Source organism: Homo sapiens, chromosome 1 (assembly GCF_000001405.40).
Source record: "Homo sapiens chromosome 1, GRCh38.p14 Primary Assembly".
NCBI classification, from domain to species: Eukaryota; Metazoa; Chordata; class Mammalia; order Primates; family Hominidae; genus Homo; species Homo sapiens.
In genome coordinates this window covers 155985129-156008657 of record NC_000001.11, presented here as the reverse complement: position 1 = coordinate 156008657, position 23529 = coordinate 155985129, and the positions used below count along the sequence as shown (strand labels likewise).

Genomic DNA, 23529 nt, shown 5'->3' with positions numbered 1-23529 from the left:
TAGTGGTGAACACCGGTGCCTGGCACCTGAGTGTTCTTGAAAAGCTATCTCTCATGCCTGACTTCTAGCCCTTTCTCGTTAAGAACTAGCTTTTTGGCCAGGTGCGGTGGCTCATGCCTGTAATCCCAGCACTTTGGGAGGCCGAGGTGGGCGGATCACAAGGTCAGGAGATCGAGACCATCCTGGCCAACGTGGTGAAACCCTGTCTTTACTAAAAGTACAAAAAATTAGCTGGGCGCAGTGGCATGGGCCTGTAGTCCCAGCAGATTGTGCCACTGCACTCCAGCCTGGTGACAGAGGGAGACTCTGTTTCAAAAGAAAAAAAAAAAAGAACTAACTTTACTTTTTTTTTTTTTTTTTTTTTTTGAGATGGAGTCTTGCTCTGTCACCCATGCTGGAGTGCAGTGGCATGATCTCGGCTCACTGCAAGCTCCACCTCCCGGGTTCACGCCATTCTCCTGCCTCAGCCTTCCGAGTAGCTGGGACTACAGGCGCCCGCCACCATGCCCGGCTAATTTCTTTTTTGTATTTTTGGTAGAGACGGGGTTTCACCGTGTTAGCCAGGATGGTCTCGATCTCCTGACCTTGTGATCCGCCTGCCTCGGCCTCCCAAAGTGCTGGGATTACAGGCATGAGCCACCGCACCCGGCCAAAACTAGATTTTCTTGAGCTTTAATTTTATTTTCTTTTTTTGAGATGGAGTCTCGCTCTGTTGCCCAGCCTACAATGCAGTGTTGTGATCTTGGCTCACTGCAACCTCCACCTCCTGGGTTCAAGTGATTCTCCTGCCTCGGCCTCCCGAGTAGCTGGGATTACAGGCACCTGCCACCATGCCTGGCTAATTTTTGTATTTTAGTAGAGACGGGGTTTTACTATGTAGGTCAAGCTGGTCTCGAACTCCTGATCTCAAATGATCTGCCCACCTCAGCCTCCCAAAGTGCCAGGATTACAGGTGTGAGCCAGCCACCGCGCCTGGCCCTTTTTTTTTTTTTTTTTTTTTTTTTTTTTTTGAGATGGAGTCTTGCTCTGTTGCCCAGGATGGAGTGCAGTGGTGTAATCCCAGCTCACTGCAACCTCTGCCTCCCGAGTTCAAGCAGTTCTCCTGCCTCAGCTTCTCAAGTAGCTGGGATTAGAGGTGCACACCACCACACCCGGCTGATTTTTGTGTTTTTAGTAGAGACAGGGTTTCACCATGTTGGTCAGGCTGGTCTCGAACTCCTGACCTCAAGTGATCTGTCTGCCTCAGCCTCCTAAAGTGCTGGGATTACAGGTGTGAGCCACCACACCTGGCCTGAATTTACTTGTAATGCTTCTGTTCTTTGAGCTCTGGCAGGGAAGAAGTACCTGGATCCCTTGAGTTGGGCTCTAAGCGTGACCTGTGGAAAGGCAGTGACTTTTGCTGCTGCAGCAGTGGGGAGAAGCCACTCTGAGCTGACTCTGTCCAACTCAGGAATGCCGTGGTCTGAGAACAGCCTCCCAGGCAAGAGGGAAGCCCAACAAACACCGGCTTTGTTTCTGCTACCGAGTTTCCCAGTTTAGATTCTGCTCCCCCGGCTCCCCTGCCCAACTGGTTTAACCTTTCTTTAGCCCAGCAATCAGAGCCTCCAGGCCCAGGAGGATGAAAAGAACATGGAGACGAGAGGCTCCAAATGGAGTAGCCCTCTGCCAGCTCACATCCCTCTTTCAGGGGCTGCAGCTTGGACATCCCAAGACTGGCCAGGTTACAGGCAAGGAGGATATATTTGCTTTTGTTCATTGTGTTCCTGGTGGAAACCTGGGACTTGCTCAGGAGAATGGGGAGGATAGGCCAATGAGTCAGAGGCTTGGGTTTGAGAACAGGTGTGGGGAAGGGAAAGGGAACTAGTCTGATATGCATCATTTTGCACTCCAGGACTATGGAGTGTTAGCCTCTGAAGGAGGAAATGGTATTTTCCATCTGTGTAGTCTCCAAGGAAAATGTAATGAGTTAACCTATGGGCGGGGGGAGTGGGGGGTGGTGGCGGGGTTCTGGCTTAGAGAATAGGGTAAACTTCATAACTCTGGAACATAATACAGGTGCTTCTTGACTTCCAATAGGGTTATGTCCGATAGGTTTATATGATATGCGTATCAGGATGTAACCCTGTTGTAAATTGAAAATGTTTTAAGTTGAAAATGCATTTAATACACTTAACATATCAAACATCATAACTTTGCCCAGCCTACCTTAAACATGCTCAGAACACTTACATTAGCCTACAGTTGGGCAAAATCACCTAACACAAAGCCTATTTTATTATTTTTATTTATTTTTTGAGATGGAGTCTCACTCTGTCACCCAGGCTGGAGTGCAGTGGTGCAATCTCAGCTCACTGCAACCTTCACTTCCCGGGTTCAAGCAATTCTCATGCCTCAGCCTCCCTAGTAGCTGGGATTACAGGTGCCCGCCACCATGCCTGGCTAATTTTTGTATTTTATTATTATTTTTTTTTTCTGAGACAGAATCTCACTCTTTCCCCCAGGCTGGAGTGCAGTGGCCCAATCTCAACTCACTGCAACCTCCGCTTCCCAGGTTCAAACAATTCTGCTTCAGCCTCCCGAGTAGCTGGGACTACAGGCATGCGCCACCACGCCCGGCTAATTTTTGTATTTTTTAGTAGTGACAGGGTTTCACCATGTTGGCCAGGCTGGTCTCAAACTCCTGATCTCATGATCTGCCCGCCTCGGTCTCCCAAAGTGCTGGGATTACAGGCATGAGCCACCGTACCTGGCCTAATTTTTATATTCTTAGTAGAGATGAGGGTTCACCATGTTGGCCAGGCTGGTCTCAAACTCCTGAGCTCAAGTGATCCACCCACCTCAGCCTCCCAAAGTGCTGGGATTACAGGCATGAGCCACTGTGCCTGGCCCAGAAAGCCTATTTTATAATAAAGTGTTGAATATCTCATGTAATTTATTGACTACTGTACTGAAAGTGAAAAACAGAATGGTTTTATGGTACTCGGAAGAGGATTTCTACTGAATGTGTATGGCTCTCACACTCTTGTGAAGTCGAAAATCTTAAGTCAAACCATCATAAGTCGGGACCATCTGTATAAGATTCCTTCCTTAATCTGAACTCTGAGAGGTGCTCCTTTCCCAAAAGCTGGGGGCGTCTTTATTGTACCTTTCCCTTACAAAACTCAGCACTTTGTGTCCTGGCCCTTGTCATGAAGAAGGCAACTAGGAGGGAAACCCAGGCCTGACACAGATGACAAGAGAAGCATTGTGAAGACAGTTGGTGTCACAGGCACCTTGAAACAAGGCCAAAGCTAGATACCTCATCTCCTAAGAGATCAGCTTTCTTGGAGTCAGAATGGAATGTGAACCTCCCTTAAGTAGTGGTGTTGGAGAATATAAGAGCCTCTAAAATCTATAGACAGAAAGTCTTAGCTGGAATAGTTGGCTTTAGGATTGAGCCCTCTTAACTTCTTGAGGTAATTTAATAGGAGGCTGAGTGGCAGACAACACTCCTCCGCTCTAACTGAAAACCACCCTAGGGAGGTGTGAACCTTGATCTCAGGATTGTGTGCAGATCTGTGAGGGAGGAGGAAAGTAAGCACTGATCCCACATCCTTCCTGGAGGCTGGGTACCCAAACTGAGGCTCCTCCCTAAAAGGCAATACAGACAGTAGGTCAGCCACCAGCATGTTCCAGGTGTCCCCACTCCTGGAGACTAGCCCTCCAGCCCTCCCTCATTGTGCAGACTTTCAGCTGGCATCGGCTCACCCACACACCCCACCCTGGTACCAGGAGGAGCCAGGTGCCTTGATTTCCACCCCCTTCCTGTACTCGGCTTTGGCACTCGAAGAAAGTGAGTGGGAAACGGGTATAAGAATTTCTACAGGCCGGGTGTGGTGGCACACGCCTGTAATCTCAGCACTTTGGGAGGCTGAGGTGGGCGGATCACCTGAGGTCAGGAGTTCAAGACCAGCCTGGCCAAAATGGCAAAATCTCGTCTCTACTATAAATACAAAAAGTAGCCAGGTGTGGCGGACGCCTATAATCTCAGCTACTCGGGAGGCTGAGGCAGGAGGACTGCTTGAGCCCAGGAGTTCAAGTCTTCAGTGAGCCATGATCATGCCACAGCACTCCAGCCTGGGTGACAGAGTGAGACCCTATCTCAACGGAAAAGAAAAATTATATATATATAATATATATCTGCCCACCTTGGGCAGATTATATATATTTATATATAATATATATAATATATATTATTTATTTATATATAATATATATATAATATATATTATTTATTTATATATAATATATATTATATAAAAATATAAATATAAAAATATATTTTTATATAATATATATTTTATATATATAAATATACATATTTATATATTATATATATATTATATATAAAATAGCTCTCCCTCTTGGAGCCTGTTTCCTCCTCTGCACAATCATGAAATTGTTTAATTGGAGGATTTTTGAGGACCCCTCACCAGTACGATAGGGCTGGTATTACCCCTTTGTTGTTATGCAGTGAGGAACATGAGGAACAACCACTGTCACTTTCTCATCTTGTGGGTGAGGTCCAGCCAGGTGGGGAAGGGCACACACAGTTCTACATCCAGCAGCAGCTGCTGTCTTCCACTCACTGACAGAGAGAATTTTTGAGCAAGGATAGACCATAGATTACCTAATTTGATCCTCTCATTTAATAGATCAGGAAAGATAAGGGGTGAAGCGGCTTGTCCAAGGTTGCCCAGCCAGTGGCAGCTAGCATATTTATTTATTATGGACCCAGCATTTATGTTCCACTGTTTGCACATGTTTCATTTAACATCTGCATTTTACAGATGAGGGGATGAGGCTAAATAGGTGGCACAAGGTCCTGCAACTAGTGACTTGGCAGAGGCAGCCAAGATCTTCCAGCTCTAATATGCCCTTTCTACTAGCCCACAGGAGGCGAGGAGTGCTCCCCTTTACCTCAGGAAGTCCGATGTCCGCCCCAGCTGTCTTCTGCCCCAGGGAAAGCAGTGAAGGTGAGTCAGCCCCCGCCCCACCCCAGAAGCTGTTATCTGGGAAGAGAGTTGGGGAGCTGGTCAAATATCCTGCCGCCTGGTATCCACAACAAGCCGTGAGCCCCGGATATGCTGAGTTGCTTGGTCACCCCTGTTCCTGGTGCTGACGCTAGGGCCCTTCTCAGTGCAGCTGCCCTTGTAACTGCTCCACCCTGTACTTTCATCACAAAAAAATACAATCTTTCCTCCTCCATTGCTGTAACCTGCCTCTTAAAGGGACCGACAATCAGGTTTTTTTGTTTGTTTTTTTGGTTTTTTTGAGATGGAGTCTTGCTCTGTTGCCCAGGCTGGATTGCAGTGGTGTGATTTTGGCTGGCTGTAACCTCTGCATGCCGGGTTCAAGTGATTCTCCTGCCTCAGCCTCCCCAGTAGCTAGGATTACAGGTGCGCACCACCACGCCTGGCTAATTTTTGTATTTTTAGTAGAGACGGGGTTTCACCACGTTGGCCAGGCTGGTCTCTAACTCCTGACCTCAAGTGATCCGCCCGCCTCGGCCTCCCAAAGTGCTGGGATTATAGGCATGAGCCACCATGCCCGGCTGACAATCAGTTTTGTAGCTGAATTTGAGAGGGCAAAGGACACCACTGACCTGAGGACCCTGCTGTGAAGTAGGTTTCCAGCTGCAGCTGTTTCTTTCCCAGAGATGTCCGCTTTCTCCCCTCCTCAGTTTCTCCCTGACCCTGTTGGAGGAAGGGTAAACGTTCCCTGGGGTGTCAGGTTCCCACATACTCTCTCCTCAGGGTGACCCCAGCATGGCTTCTTGTACCTGTTTCTACACAAGTCTGAATTTTGTAGCCACCCTGTGTTCAAGGAATGCTGAAGACAGAGGGACCCAGGAGTCCCTGGGATCAGTAATGGCACTGAAAGAGTTAAGGTCCTGGGCACAGCACTGTTTAGGGTGTTTGAAGTAGGGCGGGGAAAGGAAGGGCTACAGTGGATGAAGAGGCAGCTGATCTGGACTGGAATGAGTCCCCCCTTTCTCTTATGCAAACTTCTGGACCATGAACAGCTCCCTTAAAAGGACCAAGAGAGAGGGGACCCCCACCAAAGTGCTGGACTGGGTTCTTAAAGGGGCCACCTGAAGCAGGACTTTTTCCCACACTGAAGTCACCAACTGACAGCAGAAACAGGTCCCCCATCTTTGGGATATCTCCCAGTTCTGGTGAGTTTCCCTCTTCCCTTTCCTGGGTCCTTACCCTCAGACCCTCTCTTGCCACACCCATCTGGCATAGCACCCAGAACACATGCCCAGGAAACTGGCAGGAGGTAGAAGAAGACTGGTTGGTCTTGACCCTTTTCTTCTCTATCCGCCATAAATAAAGGGCTAGTCTGGGTCCCAAGCCCCTGATAGAATAAGCATATAGCTACAGGTCCAGCAGAAAGGAAGAGGGCAGGGTCCCTAAGTTCACTTTACTAACCAATTAAAAAAAAAAAAAAGGTGGTCACACTTGGAAGCCCAGAGCAGCAAAATTCCTGACTGACTTACGAACCTAGTACATCAAGGACATGGGGATGATTTAGGGAGAGTGTCTGAGATGCCTGTGGCTGACTTAGTAGAGGGGTGTGTGGTTAGATTAGGGGGCTGGGGATGCCTTGAAATTCAGGAACTAAGTACAGATGATAATGCCTCTCAGGAGACAACCCGGAAGCTGATAGGACACATGGCTTTTGCCCATACTGGCCTCTGCCCCACTAAGGGATGGTAGCCAGGTCCCACCATTGTATTTGTGCATAGACCCTTGTGGGTCCTCTTTTCTGTGCCTGACACTTACAAAGTGCTAAAATAATCTTTGCTGAATGAATGGATCCTCTATATCTTTTACTTTCCTTTCATTTTTGGAATTGTGGCACCACTCTCTGGCAGTGGACAGGAAGATCAGAGAAAGAGAATGAGTTCCAGGACACCAGCGTTCAGCCAAGTCAGGCGGATGGGTGAAGCAGGAGGGTGTCAGAGACTTGGGTGCTCCTGTCTTGGAACGGGGTATCTAGGGAGCAGGTGGGAAGGAATTGTAGCTCCTGGCTTCTTTATCTGAGGCGAAGAGAAGCTCTGCTTTAGCCGTCTTTGCAGGGCACTGCTGGATTAATGGTTCACTTTCTACAGGAGAAGAAATGTTAGGTTAAATTTTGAACCATCGAAGAGTTTTTGTGACCCTGTGTCCCACCCCCAGGGCCAGGAGATTTGGAGGAGAGCCAGTACAACATGTCATTTGGCCTCTCCCTTCCACCTCAGTCTTTATTATCCTGTTCTCTTGGGTCTTCTCCAATATTGGCCACCTCGGTAGATTTAGGATCCCAGAGCCAGACTCAGAAAGCTTCTCAGTCTGCGAAAGGGCCGGCCAGCATTGCCTCCAGGCCACAACGCCTGGCTGTTTGGTTACTGTCAGCAGTTCCTCCCCTATGTTCAGTGTTTGCTGGCAGCAAACATAACCAGAGACCTGCCTGCGCCCCATCACCTCATTCAGAGGTCTAAGCTAACAGAGGGAGCAGAAAGGATACATTGAACTTCTTTGGGACCCCTATCTCATTTCTTTTGGAAGCTGCTGCTTTTCTTTGGCTGGGGTCGGGGAGGTAGGAATGAGGTGGGTAAAAATAATGTTGCCGGATTTCTTTCAAAGCTAGCCACTTGGCCTGGTGTGGTGGCCTGTAATCCCAGCACTTTGGGAGGCTGAAGTGGGGTGGATCACCTGAGGTCAGGAGTTCAAGACCAGCCTGGGCAACAAAGCGAGACCTTGTTTCTACAAAAATTACAAATATTATCCCAGTGTGGTGTTGTGTGCCTGTAGTCCTAGCTCCTTGGGAGTCTGAGGTGGGAGGATTGCTTGAGCTTGGGAGGTCAAGGCTGCAGTGAGCAGAGGTCGTGCTACTGTACTCCAGCCTGGGCGACCGAGTGAGACCCTGTCTAAAAAAAAAAAAAACCAAACATATGGCCGGGCACGGTGGCTCATGCCTGTAATCCCAGCACTTTGGGAGGCCGAGGCAGATGGATCACCTGAAGCCAGGAGTTCGAGACCAGCCTGGCCAACATGGTGAAACCCCATCTCTACTAAAAAATATAAAAATTAGCCAGAAGTGGTGGCAGGCACCTGTAATCCCAGCTACTCGGGAAGCTGAGGCAGGAGAATCGCTTGAACCCGGGAGGTGGAGGTTGCAGTGAGCCAAGATTGCATCATTGCACTCTAGCCTGGGTGACAAGAACAAAACTCCATCTCAAAAAAAAAAAAATATATATATATACATACACACATATATATACACACACACATATATATATATACACACACACACATATATATATACACACACATACACACACACATACACACACACACACACAGACACACACACACATATATATTAGGATCCCAGACTCAGGATATATCTATATATCAGGCTTTGTGGGCTCTCTGTTGCAACTACCAACTTTGCTGTCATAATGCAAAAACAGCCATAGACAATATGTAAATGACTGAGCATGGCTGCGTTCCAAAAATACTTTATTTACAAGCACTGAAATTTGAATTTCATATAATATTGTGTCTCAAAGTATTCTTTTATTTTTTTTCAACTATTAAAAAAAGATAGCAGGACAGATTTGTCCCAGAGGCTATAGTTTGCTAACCCTTGCTTTAAATTTCCAGAGGCCATTCTATCCCTTTCTTCTCCTTGAAGAGGACAACTTTGTCAGGGCTCATCAGGGTCTCAAAGGACAGAAAAGCACTCATTTCTTCTTGCTCTTCTTGCTCTGGTTGCATACACTTTTCCATCAGAAGTGGTGTGTAACTGTTGCCATCATAGTTATGTTAGTGTCAGCCCATGGGTTATTTATTGTCTTTCTCTAAGAGAAAACAGTAGGTGACCATCATATGATGCCTATTTCTGCTTCTATCTTGGGCCTCCTGCCTCCTTCTTTCTTTTTCTTTCTTTCTTTTTTTTTTTTTTTTTTTTTTGAGATGGAGTCTCGCTCTGTCGCCAGGCTGGAGTGCAGTGGTGTGATCTCAGCTCACTGCAACCTCCACCTCCTGGGTTCAAGTGATTTTCCCACCTCAGCCTCCCTAGCAGCTGGGACTACAGGTGCACACCACCATGCCCAGCTAATTTTTTTTGTTTGTTTTTTGAGACAGAGTCTCACTCTGTTGCCCAGGCTGGAGTGCAGTGGTGCAATCTCGGCTCACTGCAACCCCCGCCTCCCAGGTTCAAGCGATTCTCCTGCCTTAGCCTCCTGAGTAGCTGGGATTACAGGCATGCACCACCACACCTGGCTAATTTTTTTTTGTATTTTTAGTAGAGACAGGGTTTCTCCATGTTGGTCAGGCTGGTCTCGAACTCCTGACCTCAGATGATCCACCCGCCTTGGCCTCCCAAAATGCTGGGATTACAGGTGTGAGCCACCATGCCAGGCCAATTTTTGTATTTTTAGTACACATGTGGTTTCACCATGTTGGCCAGGATGGTCTTGATTTCTTGACCTCATGATCTTCCCGCCTCGCCTCCCAAAGTGCTGGGATTACAGGCGTGAGCCACCACACCAGGCCAAGCATTATTCTTTCTAGCTCTCTGTTTCAATATACCCTGCCGTCTCTATGCCTCTAAATAATAATAACAACAATAATAATAGTATTTATTGAGCACCTAATATGTACCAAAAACAGATGGAAGGGGGACTAGGTGCATTGCATACATTATCATCAAGTCTCTCAACATCCTTACAAAATAAGTACAGGCCCAGTGGCTTACGCCTGTAATCCTGGCACTTTGGGAGGCCGAGGCAGGCAAATCAGTTGAGCCCAGGAGTTTGAGACCAGACTGGGCAACATGGTGAAACCCTGTCTCTACTAAAAAATACCAAAAAAAAAATCAGCCAGGCATGGTGGTGCGCACTTATAGTCGCAGCTACTTGGGAGGCTGAGGTGGAAGGGTCACCTGAGCCTGAGAAATCAAGGCTGCAGTTAGCCATCATCGTGCCACTGCACTCAGCGTGGGTGACAGAGAGAGAGCCTATCTCAAAAAACAAAACAAACAGGCCGGGCATGGTGGCTCATGCCTGTAATCCCAGCACTTTAGGAGGCCGAGGCAGGTGGATCACCTGAGGTCAGGAGTTCGAGACCAGCCTGACCAACATGGAGAAACCCGTCTCTACAGAAAATACAAAAATTAGCCCGGCATGGTGGTGGGTGCCTGTAGTCCCAGCTACTCAGGAGGCTGAGGCAGGAGAATCGCTTGAACCCGGGAGGCAGAGGTTGCAGTAAACCGAGATCGCACCACTGCACTCCAGCCTGGGTGACAGAGCGAGACTCCATCTCAAAACAAACAAACAAACAAACAAACAAAACCCCCAAAACAAAGTAGGTCTTATCATTCCTTTTTTTTTTTTGAGACAGAGTTTTGCTCTTATTGCCGAGGCTGGAATGCAATGGCACAATCTCGGCTCACACAACCTCTGCCTCCCAGGTTCAAGTGATTCTCCTGCCTCAGCCTCCCGAGTAGCTGGGATTACAGGCATGTGCCACCACGCTGGCTAATTTTGTATTTTTAGTAGAGATGGGGTTTCACCATGTTGGTCAGGCTGGTCTCGAACTCCTGACCTCAGATGATCCACCCGCCTCGGCCTCTCAAAGAGCTGGGATTACAGGCATGAGCCACCTCACCCGGCTTCTCATTCCCATTTTACGTGAATCTGAAGCTCAAAAAAGCTGGCTGGGCAGGCTGGGTGCCCAGGCTGGGCATGGTGGTGCACACCTGTAATCCCAGCTACTCGGGAGGCTGAGGCAGGAGAATAGCTTGAACCCAGGAGGTGGAGGTTGCAGTGAGCCGAGATCACGCCATTGCACTCCAGCCTGGGCAACAGAGTGAGACTCCATCTCTAAAAAAAAATTTTTTTTTTTAGAGATGGAGTCTCACTGTGTTGCCCAGGCTGGTCTTGAATGCCTGGCCTCAAGTGATCCTCCTGCCTTAGTCTCCCTAAGTGTTGGGATTACAGATATGAGCCCCTGAGCCCAGACCAGCCAGCTTTTTTTTTTTTCTTTTTTTTTTAGCCAGAGTTTCACTCTTGTTGCCCAGGCTGGAATGTGCAACGGCACAATCTCGGCTCACCGCAACCTCCGCCTCCCGGGTTCAAGTGATTCTCCTGTCTCAGCCTCCCTAGTAGCTGAGATTACAGGTGTGCGCCACCACACCTGGCTAATTTTTGTATTTTTAGTAGAGATGGGGTTTCACCATATTGGCCAGGCTGGTCTCAAACTCCTGACCTTGTGATCCACCTGCCTCAGCCTCCCAAAGTGTTGGGATTACAGGCGTGAGCCACTGCACTGGGCCCAAAAATTTTTTTTTTACTTAGAGCATGGTGGTGCATACCTGTAGTCCCAGCTACTGGATGCTAAAGCAGGAGGATCTCCTGACCCAGGAGTTTGAGGCTGCAGTGAGCTCTGATCAAAGCTGCACTCCAGCCTTAGCAACAGAGCCAGACCCTGTGTCAAAAACAAAAAAAAAAGTTAAGTTCCCAAGGTTATGTGGCTTATGAAAGTGGCATAGCTAGGCCGGGTGCGTTGGCTCATGCCTGTAATCCCAGCACTTTGGGAGGCTGAGGCGGGCAGATCACCTGAGCTCAGGAGTTCGAGACTAGCCCTGCCAACATGTCTAAACCTGTCTCTAGTAAAAATACAAAAATTAGCCGGGCATGGTGGCAGGCACTTGTAATCCCAGCTACTTGGGAGGCTGAGGCAGAAGAATCGCTTGAACCCAGGAGGTGGACGTTACAGTGAGCCAGGATTGTGCCACTGCATTCCAGCCTGGGCGACAGAGCGAGACTCCATCTCAAAAAAAAAAAATAAAATAAAGAAAGAGAAAGAAAAAAAGAAAGTGGCAGAGCTAGCAAATTTGACAGACTTAAAAGCTGTAACACCCTAAAGAAATTATGGTCTCAGAGTTTTGAATAACAGATGTCTCTCTCTATTAAAATATTATATATTCCCATTCCAGCTCCCAGTAGAATGTCTAAGAAATCTTTGATGACCAGTGCAATCTGTGGAGGTTATACACTTGGAGGAAGGGACAGCACACGCTGATGGTTTGCAGTGGTGGGAAGACCATCTGATCCAGAGGCAGGAAGATAAGTAAAATGACTTCTTAGAGCCCCTTCCTGCTTTCCCAGCTCCCCTCCCCCATCTCAAGCATCTGATCCCAGACCTATTTCAGAATCTCCTATCTCTTTGCTCAGTGGAAGCAGTGATATGACATGATGTGATCTCATTTGAGGGCTAAATAAAGCCATTGTGTGAGACCCAGCCCTGGCCTCTCCCCTGCACCATTTCCTGAGCTCAAGAGGCTAAGGGAAAATGGGAGGGGGGCTAGGAGAGTTAATCTAATGGAAAAAGAAGCAACACGATGATGGGACCCCCAGTTTGAATTTCAGACAGTGGAGGAGGGAATATTGCTAGGAGGGAGTTGAGGAAGCCTTGTTAAACCTCATCTCTTTGAGGGACAGAATAAAAAGTATTGGCATCATAGCATAGGCAGGGTTAGTGGGTGGGGATGAGGATGTGAGGGAGAAACTGCCAGACAGATTCCATTTTCACAGAGGGCAGAGACCATGAATGAAATGACAGAGATGCTGGAAAAAGGGTAGATCTTTGAGAAGAGGTCAGACTCCAGTTGGTCTGAGCTGGAGGAAGAAGGGTGAACAGTTACACAAAGATCTTAAGATCTGAGGTACCTGTCAGTGGGGCCAGGGTGAGTTTCACAAAGATCTTAAGATCTGAGGTACCTGTCAATGGGGCCAGGGTGACAGGACACCATCTCTAGCAGGAACATCCACACAGACAGAAGAAAAGCAAAGGTCTCCAGTTCACTGCACTTCCTTCATCTTGCCAAATTCAACCCTGCAGGCTGGGCGCAGTGGCTCACATCTGTAATCCCAGCACTTCGGGAAGCTGAGGCAGGAGGATCGCCTGGGCCCAGGAGTTTGAGACCAGGCTAGGCAACATAGTGAGACCCCATCGCTATAAAAAATTTAAGACCAGGTGCAGTGGCTCACACCTGTAATCCCAGCACTTTGGGAGGCCGAGGTGGGCGGATCACCTGAAGTCAGGAGTTTGAGACCAGCCTGGCCAACATGGTGAAACCCCATCTCTACTAAAAATACAAAAATTAGCTGGGTGTGGTGGTGCATGCCTGTAATCCCAGCTACTCGGGAGGCTGAGGCAGGAGAATCTCTTGAACCCAGGAGGAGGAGGTTGCAGTGAGCTGAGATTGCGCTACTGCACTCCAGCCTGGCAACAAAAGCAAAACTCCATCTAAAACAAAACAAAACAAAACAAAAATTTAAAAGTTAGCTGGATGTGGTGGCATGCACCTGTAGTCCTAGCTACTCAGGAGGCTAATGTGGGAGGATTGCTTGAGCCTGGGAGGCGGAGGCTGCAGTGAGGCTTGAGGGTGACAGAGGGAGAGAGATCCTCTCTCCAAAAAAAAAAAAAAGAAGAAGAAGAATTCAACCGGGTGGGCACAGCTGAGACAAGGCTAGGAGGTAGAGGTTGAATACAGGGTGTAAAGTTCAAACCAACTTTCTTCTTCTGGGAGGTCCCTGAATTCCAGAGCTCACAGTATCTACGCAGTGTCCCTGCCTCCCCGTCACGGCCTCTCAGTTTCTGTCCTATTTCCAGCCCCCGTTCCCCTTTTCCTAGTATATTTCCAGTTCCTACTCTTCTCTCCACCCCAGCTTTTCACAGTATTTTTGTCAACCTCCCTCTGCCTCCAAATCTCAGCTTTGGAGGCCACTGGTTGGGAGGGACCCTGCCATGGCCCTTAGGCTCTGACCTGCTTCCTGTAGATCTGCTCATCCTGTTTGTACCCAACATACCTGATGGCACAGGGCCCATTTGTAGGCAGGGAGGGAGAGGATCTCTCCTGGTGGCTGGCTAAGGGGTTCCCTGTCCATTGCTCCCAGACGCGATGAGCACAGATGGGCACAGGGCCATGGCCACTCTCCTAGGCTTCTCCTTTTCTCTCCTTAGACACCCACCCAATGGGGGAATAGCATTGCCGTCTGTAGAGGCCTGAGCACCTGCCTCCCTCCCTTCCCTGTGGTAAACAGGCACACAGCCACCCCAGGCACAGCACTTTCTTTCTTTTTTTTTTTGAGACGGAGTCTTGCTCTATTGCCCAGGCTGGAGTGTAATGGCGCGATCTCGGCTCACTGCAACCTCTGCCTCCTGGGTTCAAGCGATTCTCCTGCCTCAGCCTCCCAAGTAGCGGGGACTACAGGCACGTGCCACCATGCCTAGCTAATTTTTGCATTTTTAGTAGAGACAGGGTTTCACCATATTGGCCAGGCTGGTCTCGGACTCCTGACCTCGTGATCTGCCCGCCTTGGCCTCCCAAAGTGCTGGGATTACGGGCGTGAGCGACTGCGCCCAGCCTGTGGCGCAGCACTTTCTTCTCAGCTGCTCTGGGTGGGGTGAGGGCAGTGAACAGATTGCAGTGACGGAGGAAAGTAGATTGAAGGGACAATAACTGATAACCTGGACTTCCCTGGGGTGGTTAAGACAACCTGGAGAAGGTCTGACAGCCCCACAGAAAGCCTTGAAAGAGGGAAGGTTTTGGGTCCCGGCTTCCTGATCCTTCTGGGCACTCCTGATGTCTAAGTAGCTAGAAGTGGTCCCAGGAGAAAGGGAGCCTGGGAGACTCATTAGAGCAGAAGGTCGAGAGAGACATGGCCTAAGAGTGAAGTGTACAGAGGTATGCAGTAAATGCTATTTCCCTTCCTGCCCTTCCTGCCCCTGGTACTCTGGGACTTGGCACTTCTTTCTGGAGTGGGGCTTATCATTTTCAACTTTAAGAGCACCTGAGGGTTCTTAATTCTGAGACACACTGAGGCAAGCCATGATGCCAACCGGGAGTGTTGGGCACTGAGAACAACGCCCATTTGGGAGAGAGTGGAGGAAATGTGTGCTCTGTGGCTGATGCTTGGAGCCCTTCTCTTTGCACCATGGAGAGAGGTCAGACTGGCTTTCACTCTGCATATGACCAGACTCTTAGAAGAAGAAATCATGCCGGGCATGGTGGCTCACACCTGTAATCCCAGCACTTTGGGAGGCAGAGGTGGGCAGATCACCTGAGGTCAGGAGTTTGATACCAGCCTGATCAACATGGAGAAACCCCATCTCTACTAAAAAAAAATACAAAATTAGCTGGGCCTGGAGGCGCATGCCTGTAATCCCAGCTACTCAGGAGGCTGAGGCAGGAGAATCACTTGAACCCAGGAGGCAGAGATTGCGGTGAGGTGAGATCACGCCATAGCACTCCAGCCTGGGCAACAAGAGTGAAGCTCCATCAGAAGAAGGAGAAGAAGAGGAAGGGGGAGGAGAGGGAGAGGGAGAAAGAGAAATCACAACACTTTATCACTCATGAACCTTTTCTCCCTGCTACTTTTTTCTACCTTTTTTTTTTTTTTTTTTTTGAGATGGAATCTTGCTGTTGTCATGCAGGCTGGAGTGCAATGGCACAATCTTGGCTCACTGTGACCTCCGCCTCCCAGGTTCAAGTAATTCTCCTGCCTCAGCCTCCCAAGTAGTTGGGATTATAGGCGCCCGCTACCACGCCCGGCTAATTTTTTTTCTTTTTTTTTTGAGACAAAGTCTCGCTCTGTCGCCCAGGCTGGAGTCCGACCTCAGCTCACTGCAAGCTCCGCCTCCTGGGTTCATGCCATTCTCCTGCCTCAGTCTCCCGAGTAGCTGGGACTACAGGCACCCGCCACCACACCCAGCTAATTTTTTTGTATTTTTAATAGAGACGGGGTTTCACCGTGTTAGCCAGGATGATCTTGAACGCCTGACCTCGTGATCCGCCCACCTCAGCCTCCCAAAGTGTTGGGATTACAGGAGTGAGCCACCGTACCCGGCCTCCCCCTGCTACTTTATCTGCCTAAAATCCTCTCCCTCTACCCTGGCCAAATCCTAACCACTTTACCCTTCCAGGCACATCTCAAAGGCCATCTGCTTATTTCTGTTTCCTCCTCCCCTTTAAAAACAAAAACAGGCCCAGCGCAGTGGCTCACGCCTGTAATCCCAGCACTTTGGGAGGCCAAGGCGGGCAGATCATGAGGTCAAGAGATCGAGACCATCCTGGCTAACACGGTGAAACCCCCTCTCTACTAAAAATACAAAAAATTAGCTGGGCATGGTGGCAGGCACCTGTAGGCCTAGCTACTCGGGAGGCTGAGGCAAGAGAATGGCAGAATGGCATGAACCCGGGAGGTGGAGCTTGCAGTGAGCTGAGATTGCGCCACTGCACTATGGCCTGGGCGACAGAGCGAGACTCTGTCTCAAAAAAAAAACAAAAAAACAACGAAACAAAAAAAACAAGGCCGAGCACGGTGGCTCACGCTTGTAATCCCAGCACTTTGGGAGGCTGAGGCGGACGGATCACCTGAGGTTGGGTGTTTGAGACCAGCCTGGCTAACATGGTGAAACCCCATTTCTTCTAAAAATACAAATTATCCAGGCATGGTGGGGTGTGCCTGTAATCCCAGCTACTCGGGAGGCTGAGGCAGGAGAATCGCTTGAACCCAGGAGGCAGAGGTTGCAGTGAGCTGAGATCGCACCATTGCACTCCAGCTTGGGCAACAGGAGCGAAACTCTGTCTCAAAAAACAAAACAAAACAAAACAAAAGCAAACAGTGTCTTACTCTGTCACCCAGGCTGGAGTGCAGTGGCATGATCATAGCTCACTGCAGCCTTGAACTCCTGGGCTCAAGTGATCCTCCCACCTCAGCCTCCCAAGTAGCTGGGACTATAAGCACGTGCCACCACACCCGGCTAACATTTTGTTTTTTTGTGGAGACAGTGTCTCGCTATGTTGCCCGGGCTGGTCTAGAACAGCTGGGCTCAAGCAATCCACCCACCTCAGCCTCCCAAAGTGCTGGCTGAGCCACCGCACCTGGCCTTTTTTGAGTCTCCCAACTGGTCACGTGCCCTCACTCCTTTAACAGCCTAAAGCCTTTTGTTGAAACTTCTCTTGTGGCATTTGGCATATGTGAGCCAGTTATGGAGTCATCTGTGATTTGTTCTTTTGCTTGTTCACACACACACACACACACTCACCCACTCACTAGACTCTGATTCCTTGAGGATAGGAACAATATCTATTTCTCTTTGCTTGGCTTTCTGCTATATAAGTCCTCAGTAAATGGAATAAGAAGGAGACAATGAGGATCTCTTTATGTACTAGAAAGGACACTGAACTGGGATCCAGAAAACCTAAGTTCTAGCCTTGAGTCTGCAGCTAATTCACAATGTGACCCTGAGGTCACAATGTGTCACAATGTGACCCTGAGGTCACAATGTGTCACAATGTGACACATTATCCAGTTATGTGTCTCAGTAAAGTGAGTGGTGGCTAGGCACTCCTAAGTCCAGCTGACTGTGACACACTTCTAGTCCCAAGGTTTCAGAGTTCTAGAACCCTGCTCACTCTTATTTCCTGCTGACGCAGACTGGTCTGTGTGTGTCTCCCACGAACAGAGCCGTCCCAGACGTGTTCTGAGCAGGTGGAGACAAGGTGCCCGTGAGGCCACACTGGCCTCTGCCTTTCTGCAGTTGAATCCAGAGAACAACTGGAGGAAGAAGAGATGGGGAAATAAAGGAGGGGAATGGCTCGCATGCTGTACCCCTCCAAAGGTCAGGGGCTTTCCGGGCCCACGGCCGAAAACAAAGACGTCTTCAGAAGACATAGTTGGGGGCCTGGCAGGGAGCTCGAGGGCCCACTGAATACGTAAGCCCCCAGGGGACCTCCTGTACCTCCTTCCTTCCAGGCCTAGACCTTGGAGAAAATGGGAAAGTGGGAAGGAACTAGATAACTCTCTAGTCATCTCCCTCAAGAGACAACCATCCGAAGAACAACAAGAATCAAGGAGACCTGGGCCCTCAGTCCTTTCCCTGGAGAACCAGAGCTCAATCCCATTTGTGGGCCTTTGGGGGAGGATGGATGCTGCCTTCCAAAATATGCCTCTCCACAGTGGCTCTTACCTCCTTCTCTCAGGGAAGACTGAGGGTGGGAGTGGGAGGGAGGTGTGGAGTCAGGGGGAGTATCAGGACACTGGATCTTCTTGCTTCTGCCTCCCACGGTGGGTTTCATAGAACCACATAATGGTGTAATAGAACCACAAAGGAACTCAGAGAGCATATGGCACAATCTCCTCATTTTACAGATAAGGAAACTGAGGCCCAAAGAACTTTCAGAGATTTCTTGAGAGAGGTGGTCTCACGGTTGGGACATTTGGCCTGCCCCATTGCCAGGCCTTTGCCGGGCTTTTGGTTGCAGGCTGAGGACAACCCAGGATGTCTTGGATTAACTCATGGTCCCGCATTGCCACATGAGATCAGTTGTTCTTGCTCAGACTTCTGCATAGGCTTGGTGGACTGGAGCAGAGAGATCATCTCTTCCCCCTCCCTTGGAAAACCCCTGACCACTTCCCCAAAGTCAGAGGAAGTCAGAAAGAGAAGGTCCGGGGGTCAGCATGAAGAGTTCAGTGTGAGTGAACATTGTAGGGGCTGCTGGCCATGGAAGGGCACTGTCTCTCTGCTTTGACAATGGTCCCCTTGAACAAGTTCCTTTAGCTCTGGTGAGTGAACCAACCTTCCCTAGCTCCCGGGCAGGGCTGGCTGGTTTCAGTGAGGGGAGAGGACCCTGGGCCTTGTCCCTGAACTGGCTTGGGTGGGAACTCAGATGAGAAGCAATGCCTGCAGGGCTCATGGCACCTTCCTAAGGGTAGCTGGCTGAAAGCAGAGATGCCCAAATGCCTGGGCCCCCCTTATGTGGCACCAACTGTATCTCAGGGTCTTTCAAGTGTCACCCACCTTTCACAGTCAGGCATTAATTCTGCCCCTTGGTTAGAGAGGGAAGGGAGTCCTGAGTGCACTATTTGGCTGAGCAGGGGCAAAGGTTGGCATCAGCAACCAGGCAAGGAGGGAGAATTCAGCTTGCTCTTGCTGTTCGCCTTCCCCTGAACCCTGGCTTTCTTCTGGAGGCAGTACTGCCCTTTGACCAGCAGGGGCCACTCTTGCCCACAGCCAACTCTGCAGCCCTGGCAAAGCAGAGCCCCAAAGTAGGACCAGTTTGGGTCTGGGCTGTGCTTATGCCAACAGGAAGGGCTGGGCTGGGGGCAAGCAACAGGGCTGGGCTGAGGCGAGGCAGTGTTCCTCCCTGGTGCCCGTCACTGGCCACTGGATACAGACGGTAGTGGTGGCGATGTGTGTTTCAGGAGGAGACTGCAAGCATCGGGATGCCCAGGCCCCAAGGAGGCCCTCTTCCTGCAGATCCGAGAAGGACTGGACACCTTTCTGGGACTGCAGCACCAGGGTGGCTACGCCTCCCGGCTGGTACGGACAGACAGATCCCCATGAAGGCCCCTGCCTTGCTCCTCCTCTCCTGCCCCTCGCCTGTCTAGCCACCATTCTATCCTACGTCTCCTCTGTTCTGCCAGCTGCTGGGTCTCTCTGTGCCCGGGCATTGCTCTGGCTCCATCTGAGCGAATGGGAATCTATCGTCTATGCACCTCTGTCTGCTCCCCTGGGTCTGTGTGCTCTGTCCCTGACTCCGGGTACCCTGCCTCTGTCTCTTTCTCCAAGACTCTGTTTCTTCCTTTCTGTGTCGGTGCCTCTGTGTTGATGAGGGTGTATGTGTTCCTCTCTCAGTAAAAGGGCCCTGTTCCCCTAGTAATTATAACCACTTCTTTCTGTGGACCCCACATTTCCCCAATTTGGAGCTGAACTTATTTATTTATTTATTTACTTATGTATTTTGAGACAGGGTCTCCCTCTGTTGCCCAGGCTGGAGTGCAGTGGCGCGATCTTGGCTCACTGCAACCTCTGCCTCCTGGGATCAAGTTATTTTCCTGCCTCAGCCTCCCAAGCAGCTTGGATTACAGGCGCCTGCCACCACACTATTGGGGAACCTGCCCCGATAGTCATGTGGGTTCTTTTCTATTTTCCCTAAGCGTTGGCCAGTTTGATAAATAAAGGGACAGAGTACAAAAGAGAGAAATTTTAAAGCTGGGCATCCGGGGGAGACATCACATGTCGGTAGGTTCCGTGATGCCCCACAAGCCGCAAAACCGGTAAGGTTTTATTAGGGACTTTCAAAAGGGGACGGAGTGTACGAATAGGGTGTGGGTCACAAAGATCACGTACTTCACAAGGTAATAGAATATCACAAGGCAAATGGAGGCAGGGCGAGATCACAGGACCAGAGGACCAGGGCGAAATTAAAATTGCTAATGAAGTTTCGGGCACCATTGTTATTGGTAACATCTTATCAGGAGACAGGGTTTTGAGAGCAACCGGTCTGACCAAAATTTATTAGGCGGGAATTTTCTCTTCCTAATAAGCCTGGGAGCACTATGGGAGACTAGGGTTTATTTCATCCCTACAGTCTGGACCATAGAAGACGGCCACACCCAAGGGGGCCATTTATAGACCCACCCTCAGGGGTGCATTCTCTTTCTCAGGGATGTTCCTTGCTGAGAAAAAGAATTCAGCGATATTTCTCCCATTTGCTTTTGAAAGAAGAGAAATATGGCTCTGTTCCACCCGGCTCACCGGTGGTCAGAGTTTAAGGTTATCTCTCTTATTCCCTGAACAATTGCTGTTATCCTGTTCTTTTTTCAAGGTGCCCACATTTCATATTGTTCAAACACACATGCTGTACAATTTGTGCAGTTAACGCAATTATCACAGAGTCCTGAGGCGACATACATCCTCCTCAGCTGACAGGATTAAGAAAGTAAAGTAAAGACAGGCATAGGAAATCACAAGGGTATTGATTGGGGAAGTGGTAAGTGTCCATGAAATCTTCACAATTTTATGTTCCAAGATTGCAGTAAAGACAGGTATAGGAAATTATAAAAGTATTAATTTGGGGAACTAATAAATGTCCATGAAGTCTTCACAATCCACGTTCTGCCATGGCTTCAGCCGGTCCCTCCGTTTGGGGTCCCTGACTTCCCGCAACACCACACCCTGCAAAGTTTTGTATTTTTAGTAGAGATGGGTTTTCACCATGTTGGCCAGGCTGGTCTCAAGCTCCTGGCCTCAAGTGATCCACTCACCTTGGCCTCTCAAAGTGCAGGGATTACAGGTGTGAGCCACCATGCCCAGCCTGGAGCCGAACTTATTATCTGTGGAATGAAACTAAGATCTGGTACCCTGAACAATAATAATTCTCTAACAAAACAATCATAGGATGATCGATGGAGAAAGGATATAGAGATTGCCCAGCCTTCTGGCTTAAGTAAACACAACTGGGGGGATCTTCAACCAGGGTTTAAGGACCATTAAGGATACAGAAGGGCTTTGGAGACCCCACTGGGCCTGCTAGCCAGCAGACCCTGAGTACACTGAGATGTCTCAAGTCTGCTGGCTAAAGGTTGCCTCCCCTTCAGCTCATCATCTAGCTGGCCAGGGGTTCCAACCCTGGCCTCATTGTTTGGGCGCCTGTGGTTTGGGGGAGAGGCTGAAGGGAGCAGTATATAGCCTATCAGGGAAGCAGCAAAAAACAAAACAAAACAAAACAAAGCAAAACAAAAACTCCATGTCATCCCATCACCTGCTTTTTTTATTTTTATTTTTTGAGATGGAGTCTTGGTTTGTTGCCTAGGCTGGAGTGCAGTGGCACGATCTCGGCTCACTGCAAACTCCGCCTCCCGGATACAAACAATTCTCCTGCCTCAGCCTCCTGAGTAGCTGGCATTACAGGGGCCTGCCACCACGCCTGGCTAATTTTTCTATTTTTAGTAGACACAGAGTTTCACCGTGTTGACCATGCTGGTCTCAAACTCCTGACCTCAAGTGATCCCATCAACCGCTTTTCTCCATCAGCATCTTTGCATGTCTCCCCTGATCCCCATTTCAATGTACTACAGTAGAAAGAACAGGATTTCGGAGTCGAACTGACTGCTAGATCCTTCATTTATTTACCCGCTGAGCAATTTATTTTATCTTTCTGAAAATCAGAATAATAAATTGTCTTTTAAAATTGTGATTATTAAATGAACAAAAGGTGTCAAAGTATTCAGCACAGAGGCTGGCACATAAGATGAGCTCAATAGGCCGGGCGCGGTGGCACACGCCTGTAATCCCAGCACTTTGGGAGGCTGAGGCGGGCGGATCACGAGGTCAGGAGATCGAGACCATCCCGGCTAAAAACGGTGAAACCCCGTCTCTACTAAAAATACAAAAAATTAGCCGGGCGTAGTGGCGGGCGCCTGTAGTCCCAGCTACTTGGGAGGCTGAGGCAGGAGAATGGCGTGAACCCGGGAGGCGGAGCTTGCAGTGAGCCGAGATCCCGCCACTGCACTCCAGCCTGGGCGACAGAGCGAGACTATCTCAAAACAAAACAAAGATTAATGTAGGATGAATTGACCTATTTCCAATATTGAGTTTATCTATCCATGAAAAATAATGTAACTATTTATTTACTTAGGCTGTCTAAAAAAAAGTCTTCAAAAAAATATTTCTCTACCCTTACTTAGTGAAAAAAATCTATATATATATATGTATATATATATTTTTTGAGACGGAGTCTCACTCTGTTGCCCAGGCTGGAGTGCATTGGTGTGATCTTGGCTCACTGCAACCTCCGCCTCCCAGGTTCAAGCGATTCTCCTGCCTCAGCCTCCCAAGTAGCTGGGACTACAGGCGTGTGCCACCAACCCGGGCTAATTTTTTGTGTTTTTATTAGAGACGGGGTTTCACCGTGTTAGCCAGGATGGTCTCAATCTCCTGACCTTGTGATCCACCTGCCTCGGCCTCCCAAAGTGCTGGGATTACAGGTGTGAGCCACCGCGCCAGGCCTGCCTGTTTTTTTCATTACCTGGCTGGCCTCTATAGGTTGAGTTTGCCATCTCTGAAAACCATTCAGGGTAAATCTCTCTTCTTAGATACTTTTATATACTAAGAAAGCCTGGGCTTGAACTGCAACAGAGTAATGACTGCAAAACAGCGGAGTAACTTCCCAACTATTTAAAGTGCAATATCCCAATATGGGTTTTGGAAAGGGGTGGGAGGCCTGGATTTGAAGAGAGGCCAAGCTGTGGGGAAGTAAAGAGCATGAGGGGAGGACAGATGAAGCCTGCCCTTGGTGTGAGGACTCTTGACATGATTCCAGGATCAGGATTCCTGTCATCCATCTGCTGGCCCTTTGGACCACTCGGCCACTGGCATGCTTTCCAAGTCTGTACCCGTGAGTGGCATCAACTGTCTCTTGGACCGTTCGGATACAGATGGTGAGCAAAAGTAGGGAGCAAAGCAGAGGTGGCCCCTTCCCCTATACATCTTGTTGCCACTCCTCATAGCTAGCTGTTCAGGGTCCAGATGTCCTGTATTATGTTTAGCCACATACCCTTGGAACTCCTAGAATGGCTTTATTATTTTTTTTTCTTTTCTTTTTTTTTTTTTTTTTTGAGACCGAGTCTCACTGTGTTGCCCA

At 49.1% G+C, this 23529-nt stretch overlaps 1 long non-coding RNA gene across 1 annotated transcript, besides 2 other annotated features; it reads right to left on the bottom strand.

Annotated features, from left to right (window-relative positions):
* Positions 1-6870: 6870 nt before the first annotated feature.
* Positions 6871-17284, bottom strand: ARHGEF2-AS1 (ARHGEF2 antisense RNA 1). Its single transcript, XR_001738248.2, has 2 exons — positions 17148-17284; positions 6871-7150 (listed from the first exon to the last, which is right to left on the bottom strand). It is a non-coding gene; the product is annotated as an ARHGEF2 antisense RNA 1 (long non-coding RNA).
* Positions 18369-18438: an enhancer, noted in NCBI's record as "active region_1834". NCBI's record gives its function as "activates an Ori minimal core promoter by ATAC-STARR-seq in GM12878 lymphoblastoid cells {active_cell/tissue: GM12878}" and the evidence as "EXISTENCE:reporter gene assay evidence [ECO:0000049][PMID:35858748]".
* Positions 19309-19388: an enhancer, noted in NCBI's record as "active region_1833". NCBI's record gives its function as "activates an Ori minimal core promoter by ATAC-STARR-seq in GM12878 lymphoblastoid cells {active_cell/tissue: GM12878}" and the evidence as "EXISTENCE:reporter gene assay evidence [ECO:0000049][PMID:35858748]".